We start from the raw sequence: 20,345 nt of genomic DNA, 5'->3' as shown, positions 1-20,345 counted from the left end.
ACATATAACACAGTGAGCTGCCGAGATCTCGTCACTGCACTCCAGTCTGGGCGACTGAGTCAGACTCTGTCAAAAAAAAAAAAAAAAGCCAGAAAATGCCGGCCAGGCGCGGTGGCTCACACCCGTAATCCCAGCACTTTGGGAGGCCGAGGTGGGCAGATCACCTGAAAACAGGAGTTTGAGACCAGCCGGGCCAACATGGTGAAACCCCTGTCAAAAATACAAAAATTAACCTGGGCATGGTGGCGTGCGCCTGTAATCCCAGCTACTCCGGAGGCTTAGGCGGGAAAACTGCTTGAACCCTGGAGGTGGAGGTTGAAGTGAGCCGAGATCAGGCCACTGCACTCCACCCTGGGCGAGCACGACTCCATCGCCAAAAAAAAAAGAAAAGAAAAAAAAAAGAAAAAGAAAACAGGGCAGGCGCGGTGGCTCACGCCTGTAACCCCGCCAGTTTGGGAGGCCGAGGCAGGAGGATTGCTTGAGCCCAGGAGTTGGAGACCAGCCTGGGCAACAAAGAGAGACCCCGTCTGTACCAAAAAAATAGGAGAGGAGGAGAAAAACCAAATGACTTCCCCAGCAATAGCCAGACGTCCCCCCACCCCCACCCCATGGCTGTAATCAAGGTTTTGGTTATTTATTTATTGAGAGGGTCTCACTCTGTCACCCAGGCTGGAGTGCAATGGTGCGATCTCAGCTCACTGCAACCTCTGCCTCCCATGCTCAGGCGATCCTCCTACCTCAGCCTCCAAGCCAAGAAGCTGGGACCACCGGCATGTGCCACCTGGCCCTTTTTTTTTTTTTTTTTTTTTTTAGAGGGAGTTTGACTCTTGTTGCCCATGCTGCAGTGCAATTCCATGGTCTCAGCTCAGTGCAACCTCCACTTCCCAGGCTCAAGTGATTCTCCTGCCTCAGCCTCCTGAGTACCTGGGATTTCAGGCACTTGCCACCACGGCCGGCTAATTTTTTTTTTTTTTTTTTTAGGAGAGATGGGGTTTCACCATGTTGGCCAGGCTGGTCTGGAACTCCTGACCTCAGGTGATCCACTCTCCTTGGCCTCACTGAGATTCCAGGCGTGAGCCACCGCGCCCAGCCCCATCATCAAGGTTTGCAGGGACTAGCTGCAAAGCGCGGGCAGGGGCGGCATCTATTTGAAGCCGCTGTGTCTGTTTCGCGTGCACTTCCCTCCACCGTGTGTCTGGCCACAGGCAGCTCTGGCGGAGGGGAGGGAGGCGAAGGGCACCCGCGTATGCACGGCCTCAGGATGGGGCACGGGCACCCGGCCCTGCCGTGGCAGGCACCTCCTGTGCAGCCCACCCCTCTGTGGTTAAATCCTCCAGAAAGCCCCAGCTTCTGCCTTTTCTGTCACCTTTGACCCCAGGGGGACGTTAGGGGGCCCCAAACCCCGCCCCAGCCAATAGACACAGCGGTGCGGCCCCCGTGGGACTTTATTACGGGGAGTATTTCCTAAATGTGCGGGGCCGCAAAGGCAGGGGTGGGAGGGGTCCGCGGCCAGGCTCCGTGAGGTGTGGTCTCCCCATGGACTCAGGATGAGGGTTGCTCGTCCTCGGGCCCAGGCCTCCCCCTCTTCAGCCAGCGCATCATCTGCTGGTGCTGCTGGACAGCATCTTGCACGCGGGTGTCCATCATGGCCTCGGTCAGGACCCCGTCCTCGGAGGCATACGCCGTGGCCTAGTGGGGAGAGAGGGAGCTGAGGGAGGCCGCCATGGGAACCCCCCACCCCAAATGCACGCCAGGGCCCCGAGGTGGGGAGGGACCAAACCAGGGGCTCCAGGATGGCCTGAGCGTGAAACACAGGCTTCCCGCACCTCGGCAGAGCCCAGCACGTGTGTGGACACCGGGGGCAGCCCCTGCAGTGCCCACAGCCCTGCCTGCGTCCTCAGCACTGCTGTTGCTCAATGACTTTCTAATAATAGAAAGCCCAAGGCGGAGCCTCACTGACGGCCGACCCAGGGCAGCTTCCGAGAGGCAGGTGGGAACTGCAGACCCTCTGCGTGTCTCAGCCGTGGCCAGGCAGTGCCCCCGGGTCATAGTGCACCTCAGACCCTCAGACCCTGACCCTCACAGGCCTCCAGGGCAGAGGCAGCCACTGCCCACCTTGAGGCACGTGGCTGGTGGCACCAAGGCCACCCCTGCCCCACCTTCCTGTCCTCCTGGGCACAGGGCTTGGCATCTAGCATGTGAAGGCTGGAGCTGCTGGGGCTGTGGCCCTCGGTGTCGCTTCAGGCAGCCTCAGGTCCAGCCTTTCTGCCAGACAGGTCACTCTCCATCCTAATGCCAGAAAAGGGCATGGAGTCCCCAAAGGGAGTCACCCGTGGGTCAGGGTCAGGGTGTGGGGACCCCCACTGGGCGCCGTGCTCAGGAGGGCACCAGGACGCCTGGAGGAAGCACAGGGCAGGGGACCCTTCCCGGACAGCTGAGCGGGTCCCTAGCCCCATCCCAGCTATGCCTCCCAGAGGCAGGATTCATCTCACGGGGTGCAGGGGCAGCAGCACACCATCCTCCCACAACACCGTCGCCACGATAGAACCTGCCATGGGGATGACCACGTGGTGCCCGTCCCCTCTGCCAGCGCCCATCCCTCGCCAAGAGCCACTGTGTGGGGAGACACTGACCGGAGCTGGACCACCACTGTGGGTCAGGGGCCCAGGAGCGCAGGAGACACTGACTGGAGCCGTACCGCCACTGTGGCTCAGGGGCCCAGGACTGCTCAACATCATTTTTGGTCTTGAGCCCACCCAAGAGAGGGCAAACAGGTGCAGGGACCCTCAGGGTCCACCCGAGTGGCTGCACCTCACCCAGGGCCCAGCAGAGGAAAGGGGCTACGCAGATGCTCACGGGGCCACCCCTCTGGGAAGCACGGGACCTGGCAGGAGCCCACCAGAAGTGACAGCTAAATGTCACGTGGCCTCCTGGGTGGGATTCTGGGGCAAGACCCAGTCGCGGGTGGGGCCAACAGTGACACATGACGTTCACCACGTGGCGAGGCCCCAGGCCCGGGAGCTCTCTGTGCTACCCTTGCAATTTTTCTGGGAACCTAAAATCTCCAAGCTGTAAAAGTTGAAAGAGAAGACCTGGACCTGATTTCTTCACATGTGAATTCACAAAACATTAAGAATCAGAGCACTCCTCAAACTCCTGGACAAATTGAAGAACATTTCCTCACTCATCCTAGGAAGCCAGCAGTACCCTGATATCAAACCCAGATGAAGATGCCACAAGAAAAATGACAGGCCAATATCCTTGATGAGCATCACTGGGAAAGTCCTCAACAAAATGCCAGCAAAGTGAATTCAGCAGTATAATAAAAAAATTATACACCCTGACCAAGCAGGATTTATTCCTGGAATGCAAGGATAGTTCATACGAAAATCATGTTCCACATACGAAATGTTCAACATACAAAAAGCAATCAATATTAGCAGAGTGGAAGAAGGAAACCACATGACCCTCTCAACTGACGCAGGAAAAGCATTTGACCAAATTCAACACCCTTTTATGAGAAAAACACTCAACAAGCCAGGAATTGAAACACACGCCCTAAACATAATGAAGGCCATATATCACAAGCCCACAGGTGACATACTCAGTGGTGAAAAACTGGAAGCTTTTCCTCTGAGTAAGGAACCAGGCAAGAATGCTTTACTGCTTCTATTCCACATACCACTGGAAGTTGTGGCCAGGGCCATTAGAGAAGAAAAAGAAGTCATCCAAACTGAAAAGGGAGAGGTAAAATCACCTGTTCTCAGATGATATAATCTTATATGTAGAAAATCCTAGAATCCTGCTGGGCGCGGGCGGTGGCTCACGCCTGTAATCCCAGCACTTTGGGAGGCTGAAGCGGGCAGATCACGAAGTCAGGGGATCGAGACCATCCTGGCTAATATAGTGAAACCTCATCTCTACTAAAAATACAAAAAATTAGCTGGGCATGGTGGCAGGCGCCTGTATTCCCAGCTACTCAGGAGGCTGAGGCAGGAGAATGGCGTGAACCCAAGAGGCGGAGCTTGCAGTGAGCCGAGATTGTGCCACTGCACTCCAGCCTGGGTGACGGAGCGAGACTCCATATCAAAAAAAAAAAAAAAAAAGAAAAAAGAAAATCCTAGAATCCATATTGGAAAAAACAACCCCGTGACATCAGCAAAGTTACAGGAAACAAAATCAACAGCAGAAACAGCTGCAATTCTACATACTAACAATGAATAATCTGAAAGGGAAATTATGAAACCATTTCCATTTACAATAGCATCTGAAAGAATAAAATACTTGGAAATTCACTTAACCAAGAAGGTGAAAGACTTGTACAATGAAAACTGGCCGGGCGCCGTGGCCCACGCCGGTAATCCCAGCACTTTGGGAGCCAAGGCAGACAGATCACCTGACGTCATGAGTTTGGGACCATCCTGGCCGACGACTGCACTCCAGCCTGGGTGACAGAGTGAGACTCCATCTCAAGAAAAAAAAAAAAAGAAAACCAGACAACATTGCTAAGAGACGTCAAGGCAATATAGAGACTGGATGCAATCCCTGTAAAACCCGAATTATTTTTTACAAAAATAGAAAAAGCATTAATACGTTGATATGGAACCTCTAGGGATCTTGAATTGCCAAAGGGAAAAAAAAAACTTATTTTATTTTTTTGCGAGGGAGTCTCACTCTGTCACCCAGGCTGCAAGACAGTGACACGATCTCAGATCACTGCAACCTCCACCTCCTGGGTTCAAGTGATTCTCCTGCCTCTCAGCCTCCCAGGTAGGTAGGATTACAGGCACACACCACCATGCCTGGCTGATTTTTGTATTTTTAGTAGAGACAGCGTTTCACCATTTAGGCCAGGCTGGTGTCGAACTCCTGACCTCAGGTGCTCCACCCACCTTGGCATCCCAAAGTGCTGGGATTACAGCCATGAGCCACTGTGTGTGGGTGGCAAGCCAACCAGGTGCTGAGGCAAGAGACCGAGGGCACGAGCTGTTCCAGTGTAATAAAATATATAAAATAGGAATAGTTATACCAGATATAGATCTTAGATATGATTATATATGAATATCATTCATCATTAGTTTGTAGCAATTGCTCTTTATTCCAATATTATAATAATCCTCGCTCTATAATCATAATCTAGGAAAAACCAGGCCATACCGAGATAGGAGCTGAAGGGACATAGTGAGAAGCGACCGGAAGACAAGAGTGCGAGCCTTCCGTTACGCCCGGACAGGGCCACCAGAGGGCTCCTTGGTCTAGCAGTAACGCCAGCGCCTGGGAAGGCACCCGTGACCTAAGCAGACCGTGGTCTAGCGGTAGCGTCAGTGTCAAGGGAAAACACCCGCTACTTAGCAGACTGGGAAGGGGAGTCTCCCTTTCCCCGGGGGAGTTTAGAGAAGACTCTACTCCTCCACCTCTTGTGGAGGGTCAGGCCCGCCCACAGTTATCCGAAGGCCTAACCGTCTCCCTGTGATGCTGTGCTTCAGCGGTCACACTCCTAGTCCGCCTTCACGTTCCATCCTGTACACCTGGCTTTGCCTTTTAGATAACAGTAGCAAAATTAGTGAAAGTACTAAAAGTCTCTGATAAGCAGAAATAATGGCGTAAGCTGTCTCTCTCTCTCCCTCCCTCCCTCTCTCTGCCTCGGCTGCCAGGCAGGGAAGGGCCCCCGTCCAGTGGACACGTGACCCACGTGACCTTACCTATCACTGGAGATGGCTCACACTCCTTATCCTGCCCCTTTGTCTTGTATCCAATAAATAACAGCGCAGCCTGGCACTCGGGGCCACTACCGGTCTCCACGTCTAGGTGGCAGTGGTTCCCCGGGCCCAGCTGTCTTTTATCTCTGTCTTGTGTCTTTATTTCTACACTCTCTTGTCTCTGCACACAAAGAGAAAACCCACCGAACCTGTGGAGCTGGATCCTACAACTGTGCCTGGCGCGCACACACACACACACACACACAAACTGTTGAAGGACAAAGTTGGCACTGGGCGCGGTGGCTTACCACCACCACTGTGAGCAGTGCAGGATGAGCATCCTTGTAAGGGACACCAGAGTGAGAGCTCAGTCACTCTCTCCGCCACATGAGGACCCAGCAAAGAACACTCCACAGGGAGGGACTGAGCTGGCACCCTGACCTTGGGCCTGTAGTCTTCAGAGCTGTGGGCACACACGCCCCAGTGGTTATGGCAGGCCCAGCAGTCGACCACACTCCTGTTCTCTCTTTTTTTTTTTGTTTTTGAGACAGAGTTTCCCTCTTGTTGCTGAGGCTTCAGTGCAATGACGTGGTCTCGGCTCACCGCAACCTCCGCCTCCCAGGTTCAAGTGATTCTCCTGCCTCAGCCTCCTGAGTAGCTGGGATTACAGGCGCCCGCCACCACGCCCGGCTAATTTTGTATTTTTAGTAGAGATGGGGTTTCTCCATGTTGGGTCAGGCTGGTCTCGAACTCCCAACCTCAGATGATTCGCCCACCTCGGCCTCCCAAAGAGCTGAGATTACAGGTGTGAGCCACCGCACCTGGCCTTGCCAATTAAATTTTTAAGCTACAATGCCCACAACAGGCAACATGTGAACCCCGCCTGTGAACTCAGGACTGAAAGTGAGGGACCAGGCACTGTGGCTCACGCCTGTAATCTCAACATTTTGGGAGGCCGAGGCAGGTAGATCCCTTGAGGTCAGGAGTTCAAGACCAGCCTGGCCAACATGGTGAACCCGTCTCTACTAAAAATCCAAAAATTAGCCGGGTGTGGTGGTCGGTGCCTGTAATCCCAGCTACTTGGGAGGCTGAGGCAGGAGAATCACTTGAACCTGGAAGGCAGAGATTGCAGTGAGCCGAGAACGCACCACGACACTCAAGCCCGGGCAACAGAGCAAGATTCCGTTTCAAAATAAATACATAAAATAATTAAAATGCAATGCAATGCAATGCAATGCAAAAAAAATTCTGCTGAGTGAAAAGAAATGAGGTGAGAATGTCAAGAAGATCCCCATCCTCCGGACAACCAGACGCCCTCACCAACACTGGCCCTCCCTCTCGGGAGGCTCTGCGGCACTGTCTCTCACCTCCCCTTGTTTCCTTCTGTGAAATGAGGCGCCCAAGCTCGGCCCTGCACCCCACTGCTGCCCATGTACATGCCACCAGCCCTACCCACCGGCAGTAGCCCTACCAATCTCCATGCCCGAACCCCATGTGCGCCCCGGCCTCCCCACCCACACCGGCCCCACTCACTTTGAGCTTGGACTGTTGCTCCAACTGCAGCGTCTGCTCCTGCATCTGTGCCACATTCAGGGCGTCCTTTGATGTGGCCTGCAGGCACAGGGGCACAGAGGGCGGGTGTTAGGATACACGGATGCCGCTGGGCAGGCACCACACCAGCCAAGGGGCTTTCTGGAATCCACGGCCACGCCTCGACCTCAAAGCCCCCAGCCCTGCCTCCCCATCCTCCTTCCTAGTCAGACCTGGCGTGACGATGCCCCATCCCCAGCACACGGCCTGATGCATTTGTGAGGTTTTATGCCCTCCAGGGATGGTCTTGGAGAGCCACATCAGGAAGGCCATCCCACGTGGACGGGAGGAGGCTCTTGCCCAATTCAACACAAAGTCAGGCGATGGGTAAAGTGTCCATTTTATCATGATACATATGCTTTTACTTTTTTTTTTTTTTTTGAGACGGAATCTCGCTCTGTCGCCCAGGCTGGAGTGCAGTGGCGCTATCTCGGCTCATTGCAAGCTCCACCTCTCGGGTTCGTGCCATTTCTCCTGCCTCAGCCTCTGGAGTAGCTGGGACTACAGGTGCCCGCCACCACGCCCAGCTACTTTTTGTATTTTTAGTAGAGACAGGGTTTCACCCTGTTAGCCAGGATGGTCTCGATCTCCTGACCTCGTGATTCACCTGCCTCGGCCTCCCAAAGTGCTGGGATTACAGGCATGAGCCACTGTGCCCGGCCTGATGTGGCTTATACATTTATATATATATATATTAGACTGAATGAAGTCTTATTAATAGCAAAGGATAATGAAAATCCCAAACTCGCAAGGTTTTCAACAAAAGTAAAGTTTGCTATAAGTTATCAGTGTAGGCCGGGTGCGGTGGCTCATGCCTGTAATCCCAGCACTTTGGGAGGCCGAGGCGGGTGGATCGCCTGAGCTCAGGAGTTCGCGACCAGCCTTGGCAACATGGTGAAACCCGGTCTCTACTAAAATACAAAAAATTAGCCGGGCATGTCGGCCTGTGCCTGTAGTCCCAGCTACTTGGGAGGCTGAGGCTGGAGAATCACTTGAACCCGGGAGGCGGAGGTTGCAGTGAGACAAGATCGTGCCACTGGACTCCAGCCTCAGCGACAGAGCATGACTCTGTCTCAAAAAAAAAAAAAAAAAAAAAATGCTGGGCACGGTGGCTCATGCCTGTAATCCCAGCACTTTGGGAGGCCGAGACGGGTGGATCACGAGGTCAGGAGATCATCCTGGCTAACATGGTGAAACCCCGTCCCTACTAAAAATACAAAAAATTAGCCAGGCGCGGTGGTGGGCGCCTGTAGTCCCAGCTACTAAGGAGGCTGAAGCAGGAGAATGGCGTGAACCCGGGAGGCGGAGGTTGTAGTGAGCCGAGGTTATGCCACTGCACTCCAGCCTGGGCGACAGAGCGAGACTCTATCTCCAAAAAAAAAAAGAGAGAGAAAAAAAAAGCCAGAGTAAATTTAAAACCTATACTAGAGGCCAGCGGTGGCTCATGCCTATAATCCCAGCACTTTGGGAGACCGAGGCAGGCGGATCACCTGAGGTCAGGAGTTCAAGACCAGCCTGGCCAACATGGTGAAATCCCATCTCTACTAAAAACATAAAAACTAGCTGGGCATGGTGGTGGACGCCTGTAATCCTAGCTACACGGGAGGCTGAGCCAGGAGAATTGCTTGAACCCAGGAGATGGAGGTTGCGGTGAGCCAACACAGTGACACTATACTCCAGCCTCGGCGACGAGTGAGACTCCATCTCAAAAAAAACAAACAAAACAAAACAAAACAAAAACAAAAAAAAACTTACCCAAAGGCATGGAGGCCACTGACAACTATCCTTAATGTAGTAACCCACGGACTGCCGTAGTGCATTACGGGATGACACTTATTTGAAGATAGTTACTTCCAGGTGATTCAAGGAAAAAGACAATGAGTAACTAACAGGAAAAACTCTTGTGGAAATAGAGGCCAGGCTCTGTGGCTCACACCTGTAATCCCTGCACTCTGGGAGGCTGAGGCAGGTGCATCATCTGAGGTCAGGAGTTCAGGAGCAGCCTGGTCAACATGGTGAAACCCTGCCTCTACTAAAAATACAAAAATTAGGCCGGGCACGGTGGCTCACGCCTGTAATTCCAGCACTTTGGGAGGCCGAGGCGGGCGGATCACGAAGTCAGGAGATCGAGACCATCCTGGATAACACGGTGAAACCCCGTCTCTACTAAAAATATAAAAAAATTAGCTGGGCGTGGTGGCAGGCGCCTGTAGTCCCAGCTACTCAGGAGGCTGAGGCAGGAGAATGGCGTGAACCCGGGAGGCAGAGCTTGCAGTGAGCCGAGATCGTGCCATTGCACTCCAGCCTCGGTGACAGAGCGAGACTCCGTCTCAAAAAAAAAAAATACAAAAATTAGCTGGGCGTAGTGGCGAGTATCTGTAATTACTACTCAGGACGCTGAGGCAGGAGAATCGCTTAAACTCAGGAGGTGGAGGTTGCACTGAGCCGAGATCACGCCATTGCACTCCAGCCTGGGCGACAGAGTAAGACTCCATCTCAAAAAATAAAAAAATAGAGTTAATAAAGTTTCCTAATAATTGGTCTGCTCAAGCATGTGAGCTGTTTGCACTCAGCCAAGCCTTCAAGTACTTACAGAACCAGGAAGGAACCATCTATACCAATTCTAAGTATGCCTTTGGAGTGGCTTTTGAGAGGAGTCTCACTCTGTCGCCCAGGCTGCAGTGCAGTGCCGCAATCTCGGCTCACTGTAAGCTCCGCCTCCCGGGTTCATGCCATTCTCCTGCCTCAGCCTCCCAAGTAGCTGGGACTACAGGCACCTGCTACCACGCCCGGCTAATTTTTTTTTTGTATTTTTAGTAGAGACGGGGTTTCACCCTGTTAGCCAGGATGGTCTCGATCTCCTGACCTCGTGATCCGCCCGCCTCGGCCTCCCAAAGTGCTGGGATTACAGGCATGAGCCACTGCGCCCTGCCTGAAGTGGCTGATACATTTATATATATATACACATTTATATATACATTTATACATATATATATATATTAGACTGAATGAAGTCTTATTAATAGCACAGGATAATTTTTTTTTTTTTTTGAGACGGAGTCTCGCTCTGTCCCCCAGAGACTGGAGGGCAGTGGCGCAATCTCGACTCACTGCAAGCTCCGCCTCCTGGGTTCACGCCATTCTCCTGCCTCAGCCTCCTGAGTAGCTGGGACTACAGGTGCCCGCCACCACGCCCGGCTATTTTTTTGTATTTTTAGTAGAGACGGGGTTTCACCGTGTTATCCAGGATGGTCTCCATCTCCTGACCTCGTGATCTGCCCGCCTCGGCCTCCCAAAGTGCTGGGATTACAGGCGTGAGCCACCGCACCCGGCCACAAAGGATAATTAAAATCCCAAACTCCCAAGGTTTTCAACAAAAGTAAAGTTTGCTATAAGTTATCAGTGTAGGCCGGGTGCGGTGGCTCACGCCTGTAATCCCAGCACTTTGGGAGGCTGAGGCGGGTGGATCGCCTGAGCTCAGGAGTTTGCAACCAGCCTTGGTAACATGGTGAAACCCCGTCTCTACTAAAATACAAAAACTTAGCCGGGCGTGTCCACCTGTGCCTATAGTCCCAGCTACTTGGGAGGCTGAGGCAAGAGAATGGCTTGAACCCGGGAGGCGGAGGTTGCAGTGAGACAAGATCGTGCCACTGGACGACTCCAGCCTGGGCAACAGAGCAAGACTCTGTCTCAAAAAGAAAAAAAAAAAAAGGCTGGGCACGGTGGCTCACGCCTGTAATCCCGGCACTTCGGGAGGCCGAGGTGGGTGGATCACCTGACGTCGGGAGTTCGAGACCAGCCTGACCAACCTGGTGAAACCCCATCTCTACTAAAAATACAAAATTAGCCGGGCTTGGTGGCGCATGCCTATAATCCCAGCTACTTGGGAAGGCTGAGGAAGGAGAATCGCTTGAACCCGGCAGGCGGAGGTTGCAGTGACCAGAGATTGCGCCACTGCACTCCAGCCTGGGCTACAAGGCAAAACTCCATCTCAAAAAAAAAAAAAAAAAAAAAAAAAGAGCTGTTTGGAACCAACCCCACCAGGGTGAATAGAAGACATAATATCTATCTATGGCTGGGCACGGTGGCTCACGCCTGTAATCCCAGCACTTTGGGAGGCCGAGTGCGGATCATGAGGTCAGGAGTTTAAGACCATCCTGGCTAACATGGTATAACCCCCTCTCTACTAAAAATACAAAAAGTAGCTGGGCGTGGTGGCACGTGCCTGTAATCCCAGCTACTTGGGAGGCTGAGGCAGAAGAATCACTTGAACCCAAGAGGCAGAAGTTACAGTAAGCCGAGACCAAAAAAAAAAAAAAAAAAAAGGTATTCCAGGCCGGGCGCACTGGCTCACGCCTGTAATCCCAGCACTTTGGGAGGTCGAGGCGGGCGGATCACGAGGTCAGGAGATCGAGACCATCCTGGCTAACACGGTGAAACCCTGTCTCTACTAAAAATACAAAAAATTAGCTGGGCGTGGTGGCGGGCACCTGTGGTCCCAGCTACTCAGGAGGCTGAGGCAGGAGAATGGCGTGAACCCGGGAGGTGGAGCTTGCAGTGAGCTGAGATCGCGCCACTGCACTCCAGCCTAGGCGACAGCATGAGACTCTGTCTCAAAAAGAAAAAAAAAAAAAAAGAGGAACCACACAGCAGTAGGGGCTACCTGTGTCAGGAATAAGAACCCCTTCCCCTCCCTTGTCCAGGCGCTCGCCATTGCTCCAGCTATGAGACGCCCCCTTCTATAGAAGTAAATTTCGCAGCTGAGAAAAGTTAACATTCGAGTGCTACTTCTTTTGCGACACCGAAAATTTACATAAAACACAGTGAGCCGCCGAGATCTCACCACTGCACTCCAGCCTGGGCGACGGAGTGAGACTCCGTCTGAAAAAAACAAACAGGCCGGGCGCGGTGCCTCAGGCCTGTAACCCCAACACTTTGGGAGGCCGAGGCAGGAGGATCGCTTGAGCCCAGGAGTTGGAGACCAGCCTAGGCAACAAAGAGAGACCCCGTCTGTACCAAAAAATAGGAGAGGAGAAAAACCCAATGAGTTCCCCAGCTGTACCCCCACCCACCGACCCCATCCCCACCCCTCGCCATGGCCATCATCAAGGGTTTGGTTTTATTTTTATTTTTTAATTTATTTTGAGACAGGGTCTCACTCTGTCACCCAGGCTGGAGTGCAGTGGTGCGATCTCGGCTGTCACCTCTGCCTCCCATGCTCAGGCGATCCTCCTAGCTAAGCCAACAAGCTGGGACCACAGGCACATGCCACCAGGCACCGCTAATTTTTATTTTATATTTGAGACGGAGTTTCACTCTTGCTGCCCAGGCTGGAGTGCAATGGCGGGGTCTTGGCTCACTGCTACCTCTGCCTCCTGGGTTCAAGTGATTTTCCTGCCTCGGCCTCCCGAGTAGCTGGGATTACAGTCACCTACCACCATGCCGGCTAACTTTCGTATTTTTAATAGAGATGGGGGTTTCACCACATTGGCCGGGCTGGTCTCGAACTCCTGACCTCAGGTGATCCACCCGCCTCAGCCTCCCAAAGTGCTGGGATTACAGGAGTGAGCCACGGCACCTGGATTTTTCTTTTGTATTTTTTGTAGAGATGGGGTTTCACCATGTTGGCCATGCTGTTCTCAAACTCATGAGCTCAGGAGATCCACCCGCCCAGGCCTCGGAAAGTGTTAGGATTCCAGGCGTGAGCTGCTGTGCTGGGCTCCATCAGGGCTTTTTTTTTTTTTTTTAAACAGTTCTGTTGCCCAGGCCGGAGTGCAGTGGCGTGATCTCGGCTCACTGCAACCTCTCCCTCCCAGGTCCAAGCGAGTCTCCTGCCTCAGCCTCCCGAGTAGCTGGGATTACAGTCACCTACCACCATGCCGGCTAATTTTTTTGTATTTTTAGTAGAGACGGGGTTTTGCCACGTTAGCCAGGATGGTCTCAAACTCCTGACCTCATGATTCACCCGCCTTGGCCTCCCAAAGTGCTGGGATTACAGGCGTGAGCCACCTAGCCCAGTCTAACCTGGCTTAATTTTAAATACAAAGTATTGATTGCTGGTTTAAGATTTAGGCAATTCCTTTAAAGAGGAATTGAGGCCAGGCTTGGTGGCTCATCCTGTAGAGGCGGGAGGATCTCCTGAGGCCAAGAGTTGGAGACCAGCCTGGGCATTATAGCAAGACTCGGTCTCTACAACAAATTTTTAGCATTAGCGGGCGTGGTGGTGCACGCCTCTGGGGCTAATTAGGGCCTAGTAGGGTATGGCTACTGGACAGGCTGAGGCAGGAGGATCACTTGAGCCTGGGAGGTCGAGGCTGCAGTGAGCTATAATCACACCACTGCACTCCAGCCTGGGCTCAGAGTAAGAACCCATCTCTAAAAGGAAAAAGAGAGAAATGGAGAGAGCGAGCAGAGGTAGAGAGAGAAATGGAGAGAGCGAGCAGAGGTAGACCGCCCCCCTCCAAGCACTGCAGCTCCGAGGGGTCTGCTCTCCGATGGGACCGTTGCGTGCCCAGGCTCCTCTTCTGTTTCCTACTTCAACCAACAGCCTACACCCTTCCTAAGGACACAAAGTTCAGAAAGCATTGTTTCATCGACCAATATGAGGCTCTGCGCCATGGCACTGTGCTGTCTCGTTGCTGTGATTCCCCCAACCACCCCTGCACCCCACCCTGCCCCCAAAGCAAAGGTTTCCTGTCTGAGAGTCCTCCAGCAGCGAGGACCTGGAGGAGTGACTGTGCAGGTTCCAGATGCAGGTGGACAGCCTGGCCTCCGGCCTGACCTTGAGCCAAGACAGGGACGCAGCTGCCTCCGGAAGCCTGGGCCAGCGGGGACAGGGGCTGCAGTCCCAGAGTAGGCCCCAGCCAGGCAGTGGGTACCACGCTCTGCTCCCAGAATTCAGGCAGCGAGTGTGGTTCCTGAGCTCTCTGCATCTGAGCAGACCTCTGGGGACAGGGAGCTGCATGGCATGCCAGGACTGTGGTCTCCCAGTGTGGCCTGTGGCCCCCAGTGACCCAGCCCCAGGGCACCCAGGACCGAGGCTGCAGTGGCCGACTGCGTGTCTTCCATGGACGATGCCTGGGCAGAAGCGTGCCCTCTTACACCTGGGCGCAGTGTGGTCATGAAGTCACCGCTGGCCCCCACATCACTCTGCAGCCTCATTCTTCTCGGGGTGCCCCTCCTTCAGGAGGGAGGGGCTGGTGGGGCGCAGGCGGCAGTCCCGGGCAGCATTCAGACCCCAACTCGGATGTGGCGCGAGGCTGATGTGAAGCACACCGCTCTGTGATCAGTAAATTCTCCAGAAAGCTCCAGCCTCTGCCTCTTATGTCACCTTTGACCCCAGGAGGACGCTAGGGCGCCCCTGAAACCCCGAGCAGTGTCAGTCAATAGAGAGACACGGCGGTGAGGCACCTGTGGGACTTTATTAGATAAACACACACCAGCTCCAGCCACAGGCTTGGACCGGCCAGCTGACAGGGCGGCCTCAGACACCCCTGCCGGGTTCCGTGGCCCCTGGCCATGGCTGGAAGCAGGGTTCAGGCCGCCCCACTTCTGTCTAGTCCTGGCAGGCCCCCCCTCACCTGGCTCTGCTGTGGGAGCCGAGAACAAAGACCCCGCCTGCCCCACTCCTTCTGCCCCAGGGGCTCAGCCAGCACCCACCCTCACAGTGGCCTGGGCAGGGGCTGGGGTACAAAGCCTCACCCTCCCCCTGTGAGCCAGACGGAAAATGCATCTCCCAAGAGTGTCTCGAGGGGCAGGAAGGAGGCCTGCCCCTCCCTAGCCAGTGCCTACAACAGGGGGTGCCCTGGGGGGCAGAACGGCCGACCGCCACCACAAGACATCCTGGGGGACAGAGGCCCTGGGCACAGCCCAGTCCCCATCCAGGAGCATATCCTAAATGTGCAGGGGCCGGCAAGGCAGGGGTAGGAGGGGTCCGTGGCCAGGCTCCATGAGGTGAGGGTCTCGCCTTGGACTCCGGATAGGGGGTGCTCGACCCCGCGCCCAGGCCCCTCCGCCTTCAGCCAGCGCATCTTCTGTCGGTACTGCTGGACAGCATCTTGCACACAGGCGTCCATCATGGCCTCAGTGAGGACCCCGTCCTTGGAGGCATATGCCGTGGCCTAGTGAAGAGAGAGGGAGCTGAGGGAGGCCGCTATGGGAACCCGCCACCCTTAATGCACGCCAGGGCCCCGAGGTGGGGAGGGGCCAAACCAGGGGCACCAGGACAACCTCAGGGTGAAACACAGGCTTCCCACACCTTGGCAGAGCCCAGCACGCGTGTGGACACTGGGAGCGGCCCCTGCAGTGCCCACAGCCCTGCCTGCGTCCTCAGCACTGCTGTTGCTCAATGACTTTCTGATAATAGAAAACCCAAGGCGGAGCACCACTGACGGCTGACCCAGGGCAGCTTCCGAGAGGCAGGTGGGAACTGCAGACCCTCTGCGAGTCTCAGCCGTGGCCAGGCAGTGCCCCCGGGTCATAGTGCACCTCAGACCCTCAGACCCTGACCCTCACAGGCCTCCAGGGCAGAGGCAGCCACTGCCCACCTTGGGACATCAAGGCCACCTCTGCCTCCATTTCCCTGTCCTCCTGGGCACAGGGCTTGGCATTGAGCACACGGAGGCTGGAGCTACTGGGGCTGTGGCCCTTGGTGTCGCCTTAGGCACCTCAGGTGCAGCAGCCCTTCTGCCACGGACAGGTCGCTCTCCATCTCAGTGCCAGCGAAGGGCGTGGAGTCCCCAAGGGGAGGCACCCATGGGTCAGGGTGAGGGTGTGGGGACCCCCACTAGGTGCCGTGCTCAGGAGTGCACCAGGACACCTGGAGGAAGCACAGGGCAGGGGACCCTTCCTGGACAGCTGAGTGGGTCCCTCGCCCCGTCCCAGCTGTACCTCCCAGAGGCAGGATTCATCTCACGGGGTGCAGGGGCAGCAGCACACCATCCTCCCACAACACTGTCACCATGACAGAACCTGTCATGGGGATGACCACGTGGTGCCCGTCCCCTCTGCCAGCGCCCACCCCTCGCCAAGAGCCACTGTGTGGGGAGACACCGACCGGAGCCGGACCGCCACTGTGGGTCGGGGGCCCGGGAGCGCAGGAGACACTGACCAGAGCCGGACCGCCACTGTGGGTCGGGGGCCCGGGAGCGCAGGAGACACTGACCGGAGCCGCACCGCCACTGTGGCTCAGGGGCCCAGGACTGCTCAACATCATTTTTGGTCTTGAGCCCACCCAAGAGAGGGCAAACAGGTGCAGGGACCCTCAGGGTCCACCCGAGTGGCTGCACGTCACCCAGGGCCCAGCAGAGGAGAGGGGCTACGCAGATGCTCACAGGGCCACCCCTCCAGGAAGCACGGGACCTGGCAGGAGCCCACCAGAAGTGACAGCTAAATGTCACGTGGCCTCCTGGGTGGGATTCTGGGGCAAAACCTGGTCGCGGGTGGGTCCAACAGTGACACATGATGTTCACCATGTGGGAAGGCCCCGGGCCCGGGAGCTCTCTGTGCTACCCTTGCAATTTTTCTGGGAACCTAAGATCTTCAAGCTATAAAAGGTCAAAGAGAAGACCTGGACCTGATTTCTTCACATGTGAATTCACAAAACATTAAGAAGAATCAGTACCACTCCTCAAACTCTTGGACAAATTGAAGAACATTTCCTCACTCATCCTAGGAAGCCAGCATTACCCTCATATTAAAGCCAGACAAACACACCACAAGAGAAATGGCAGGCCAATATCCCTGATGAGCCTCACTGGGAAAGTCCTCAACAAAATGCCAGCAAAACGAATTTAGCAGTATAGTTAAAGGACTCTACACCCTAACCAAGCAGGATTCATTCCTGGAATGCAAGGATAGTTCAATATATGAAAATCAATCAATATTAGCAGAGTGGAGGAAGGAAACCACATGACCCTCTCATCTCATGCAGGAAAAGCATTTGACAAAATTCAACACACTTTTATGATTAAAAAAAAAAAATTCAACTGGTCGGTTGCAGTGGCTCACACCTGTAATCCCAGCACTTTGGGAGGCTGAGGTGGGCAGGTCACCTGACGTCAGGAGTTCGAGACCAGCCTGGCCAACATGGTGAAACCCTGTCTCTACTGCACTCCAGCCTGGGCGGCAAAAGCGAGACTGGTCCCCCCACCAAAAGAAAAGAAAAGAAACAAAAAAAATTAACAAACCAGGATTGAAGAACATGCCCTAAACACAAAGAAGGCCAGCGATCACAAGTCCACAGCTAACATACTCAGTGGTGAAAAACTGAAAGCTTCCTCTGAGAAAGAACCAAGCAAGAATTCTGACCACTTCTATTCCACATATCGCTGGAAGCTCTGGCCAGAGATATGGGACAAGAAAAAGAAAAGTCATCCAAACTGAAAAGGGAGAGGTAAAATCACCTGTTCTCAGGTGACATAATCTTATGTGTAGAAAATGCTACATGTAAGAGCCACCGTGCCAAGCCAAATTATTACTGTTATCATTTATATTTTGAGACAGTTTCGCTCTGTCGCCCAGACTGGAGTGCTGTGGCGTGATCTTAGCTCACTGCAACCTCTGCCTCCTGAGTTCCAGCAATTCTCCTGACTCAGCCTCCCGAGCAGCTGGGATTACAGGTGCCTGCTACCACACCAGGTTAATTTCTTTCTTTTTTTTTTTTTTGGAGATGGAGTATCGCTCTGACACCCAGGATGGAGTGCAGTGGCACCATCTCAGCTCACTGCAACCTCCACCTCCCGGGTTCAAGCGATCCTCCTGCCTCAGCCTCCTGAGTAGCTGGGACTACAGGCGCCAGCCACCACGCCTGGATAATTTTTTTATTTTTTAGTAGAGATGGGGTTTCACCATGTTGTCCAGGCTGGTCTTGAACTCCTGACCCCGTGATCCGCCCACCTCGGCCTCCCAAAGTGCTGGGATTAGAGGCATAAGTCACCACACCCGGCCCCGTCCAGTTAATTTTTGTATTTTTAGTAGAGGTGGGGTCTCGGCACACTGGCCAGGCTGGCCTCGAACTCCTGACCTCAAGTGATCCAACACCTCGGCCTCCCAAAGTGCTGGGATTACAGGCATGTGCCACTGTGCCCAGCCCAAATTATTATTCTTCTTATTATTATTTTTGAGACAGTCTCACTCTGTCCCTCAGGCTACAGTGCAGTGGCATGATCTCAGCTCACCGCATCCTCTGCCTCGTGGGTTCAAGCAATTCTCCTGCCTCAGCCTCCTGAGTAGCTGGGATTACAGGCACCCACCACCACACCCAGCTAATTTTCGTATTTTTTGTAGAGGTGGGGTTCATCATGTTGGCCAGGGTGGTCTTGAACTCCTGACCTCAAGTGATCTTCTCTCCTTGGCCTCCCAACATGCTGGGATTACAGGAGTGAGCCACCGGGCTTGTTCCAAATTATTCTCAGTTTTTAAGACAGGGTCTTGCTCTGTAACCCAGGCTGGAGTGCAGTGGCACAATCACAGCTCACTGCAGCCTCCGCCTCCTGGACTCAAGTGACCCTCCCACCTCAGCCTCCCAAGCAGCTGGCATTACAGGCATGTGCCACTAGGTCCGGCCAATTTTTTCATTTTTTGTAGAGATGGGGTCTCACCTTGCTTTCCAGGCTGGTCCTGAACCCCTGGCTTCAAATAATCTGACTGACTTGGCCTCCCCAAATGCTGGGAATACAAGCGTCAGCCACCACCATACCCAGCCTCCACTTTCTGAGTTGTGGAAACAGACCTGGTTCCAAGTGGGGACGGCCTGGAACAGAGACCTCAGCTGACCCACAAGGACGGGGTTTGAGATCTGGGACTCTTTGTCACAGCGGCATAACCCAGCCTGTACTGACTAATACAGCTCCCTACATACCCCGGCTCCTACGTTCAAATCAAGGTACTTGGCTACTTCATTAAGCTGTCACTCATTCATTCAAATACGCTGCTAGATCGAGTGACCAGGTTGTCACACAGACTCTGCGGACCCCAGAGGCGGCAATGCCTGTGTGTGGCCAGGGCGCCTTCTACCCCACAGACCTGGTTTTGCTTTTTCAGCAACCCCCAAAGACCAAAGCTTTCTTTTATTTTGAGATGGAGTCTCAATCTTTGGCCAGGCTGGAGTGCGGTGGTGCGATCTTGGCTCATTGCAACCTCCAACTCCCCGGGTCAAGCAATTCTTCTGCCTCAGCCTCCCGTGTGGCTGGGATAACAGGCATGCACCACCAAACTCAGCTAATTTTTGTATTTTTAGTAGAGACGGGGTTTCGACATATTGGCCAGGATGGTCTCAATCTGACCCCGTGATATGCCTGCCTCAGCCTCCCAAAGTGCTGGGATTGCAGGCGTGAGCCACCGCGCCCGGCCTGATCAGAGCTCTCTGGATGGCCATGCCCACACTCCAGTGAGTCTCGGCTCCTCGGCCCTGGAGTATCCAAGGAGCAGCAGGAGGGGTGCCTCCGAGGAACAACTAACTGTGGGACAATCGGAGGCCAGTCCCACCGTGTGTCTGAACCCGTCAAACAGGACCAAGCCAAGGGACCTGGTCCAGGAAACACAACGTCCCTCCACCCCCACCACCCAACTCACACGGGGCCTGTCCTGACGACCATTCCCTCTAGGAGGTGCCTGTTGGCCAAGATGAGAGCCAGAAACCTCCCACCACACCCAGCAGAGCCCGGGCACCTGGGATGCTGGACTGGCTTCCAGAGAGCCCCGTGTGACTGTCAGCAACCAACATGGCCCCACCCTCCTGAGGGCACGAGCAGGTGCACGCTGCTGCGTGGAGTGGCCCGACTGAGGCAGGGGGCCCTGTGTCACGTCTGTGCACTGAAAACCCCTCAACAGAAGCTCCCACATGACACCGGTGCTGGGACAGGCCTGGCGCAACTGAGCATCTCCACAGCAGCTGGGGTCCCGTCTGGGTGGACGTGCCGGAGCCTGACTCACCTGCCAGGACACGGCCAGCTGAGCGATCTCCCGGCCCGACATGCCCTCCGTCAGCCGAGCGACCTCCGAGCACTTCCTCCCGTAGTCAAACTGGGCCAGCTTCAGGCGCCTGGGGAAGGAGTT

General features: G+C 54.5%; 1 protein-coding gene across 5 annotated transcripts in view, besides 3 other annotated features; it reads right to left on the bottom strand.

Moving 5' to 3' along the window:
• Positions 1,240-1,881: an enhancer, noted in NCBI's record as "H3K27ac-H3K4me1 hESC enhancer chr1:1444393-1445034 (GRCh37/hg19 assembly coordinates)". NCBI's record gives its function as "activates a minimal SCP1, AML or CMV promoter by ChIP-STARR-seq in primed H9 embryonic stem cells {active_cell/tissue: H9 hESC(primed)}" and the evidence as "EXISTENCE:reporter gene assay evidence [ECO:0000049][PMID:30033119]".
• ATAD3B (ATPase family AAA domain containing 3B) overlaps positions 1,428-20,345 on the bottom strand; it is a 37,702-nt gene continuing 18,784 nt past the window's right edge. For 4 of the 5 annotated variants that reach the window (XM_011542244.2, NM_031921.6, NM_001317238.2 and 1 more), the window contains 2 exons: positions 20,223-20,331; positions 13,046-15,409 (listed from right to left, as the gene is read on the bottom strand). In XM_011542244.2, coding sequence (XP_011540546.1) covers positions 15,077-15,409; positions 20,223-20,331 — 442 coding nt within the window. In that variant the 3' untranslated portion in view covers positions 13,046-15,076. Of the gene's footprint in view, positions 1,690-13,045; positions 15,410-20,222; positions 20,332-20,345 lie in introns of those variants that run through there. The other variant, XM_005244806.4, reaches the window with a different exon arrangement.
• Positions 1,882-2,525: an enhancer, noted in NCBI's record as "H3K27ac-H3K4me1 hESC enhancer chr1:1443749-1444392 (GRCh37/hg19 assembly coordinates)". NCBI's record gives its function as "activates a minimal SCP1, AML or CMV promoter by ChIP-STARR-seq in primed H9 embryonic stem cells {active_cell/tissue: H9 hESC(primed)}" and the evidence as "EXISTENCE:reporter gene assay evidence [ECO:0000049][PMID:30033119]".
• Positions 16,978-17,178: a silencer, noted in NCBI's record as "peak11 fragment used in MPRA reporter construct". NCBI's record gives its function as "represses an SCP1 promoter by STARR-seq MPRAs in K562 erythroleukemia cells {active_cell/tissue: K562}" and the evidence as "EXISTENCE:reporter gene assay evidence [ECO:0000049][PMID:32103011]".

Source organism: Homo sapiens, chromosome 1, assembly GCF_000001405.40.
Source record: "Homo sapiens chromosome 1, GRCh38.p14 Primary Assembly".
NCBI lineage: Eukaryota > Metazoa > Chordata > Mammalia > Primates > Hominidae > Homo > Homo sapiens.
The sequence above is the reverse complement of the archived record's forward strand: the minus strand, read 5'-3'. Positions and strand labels throughout refer to the sequence as shown.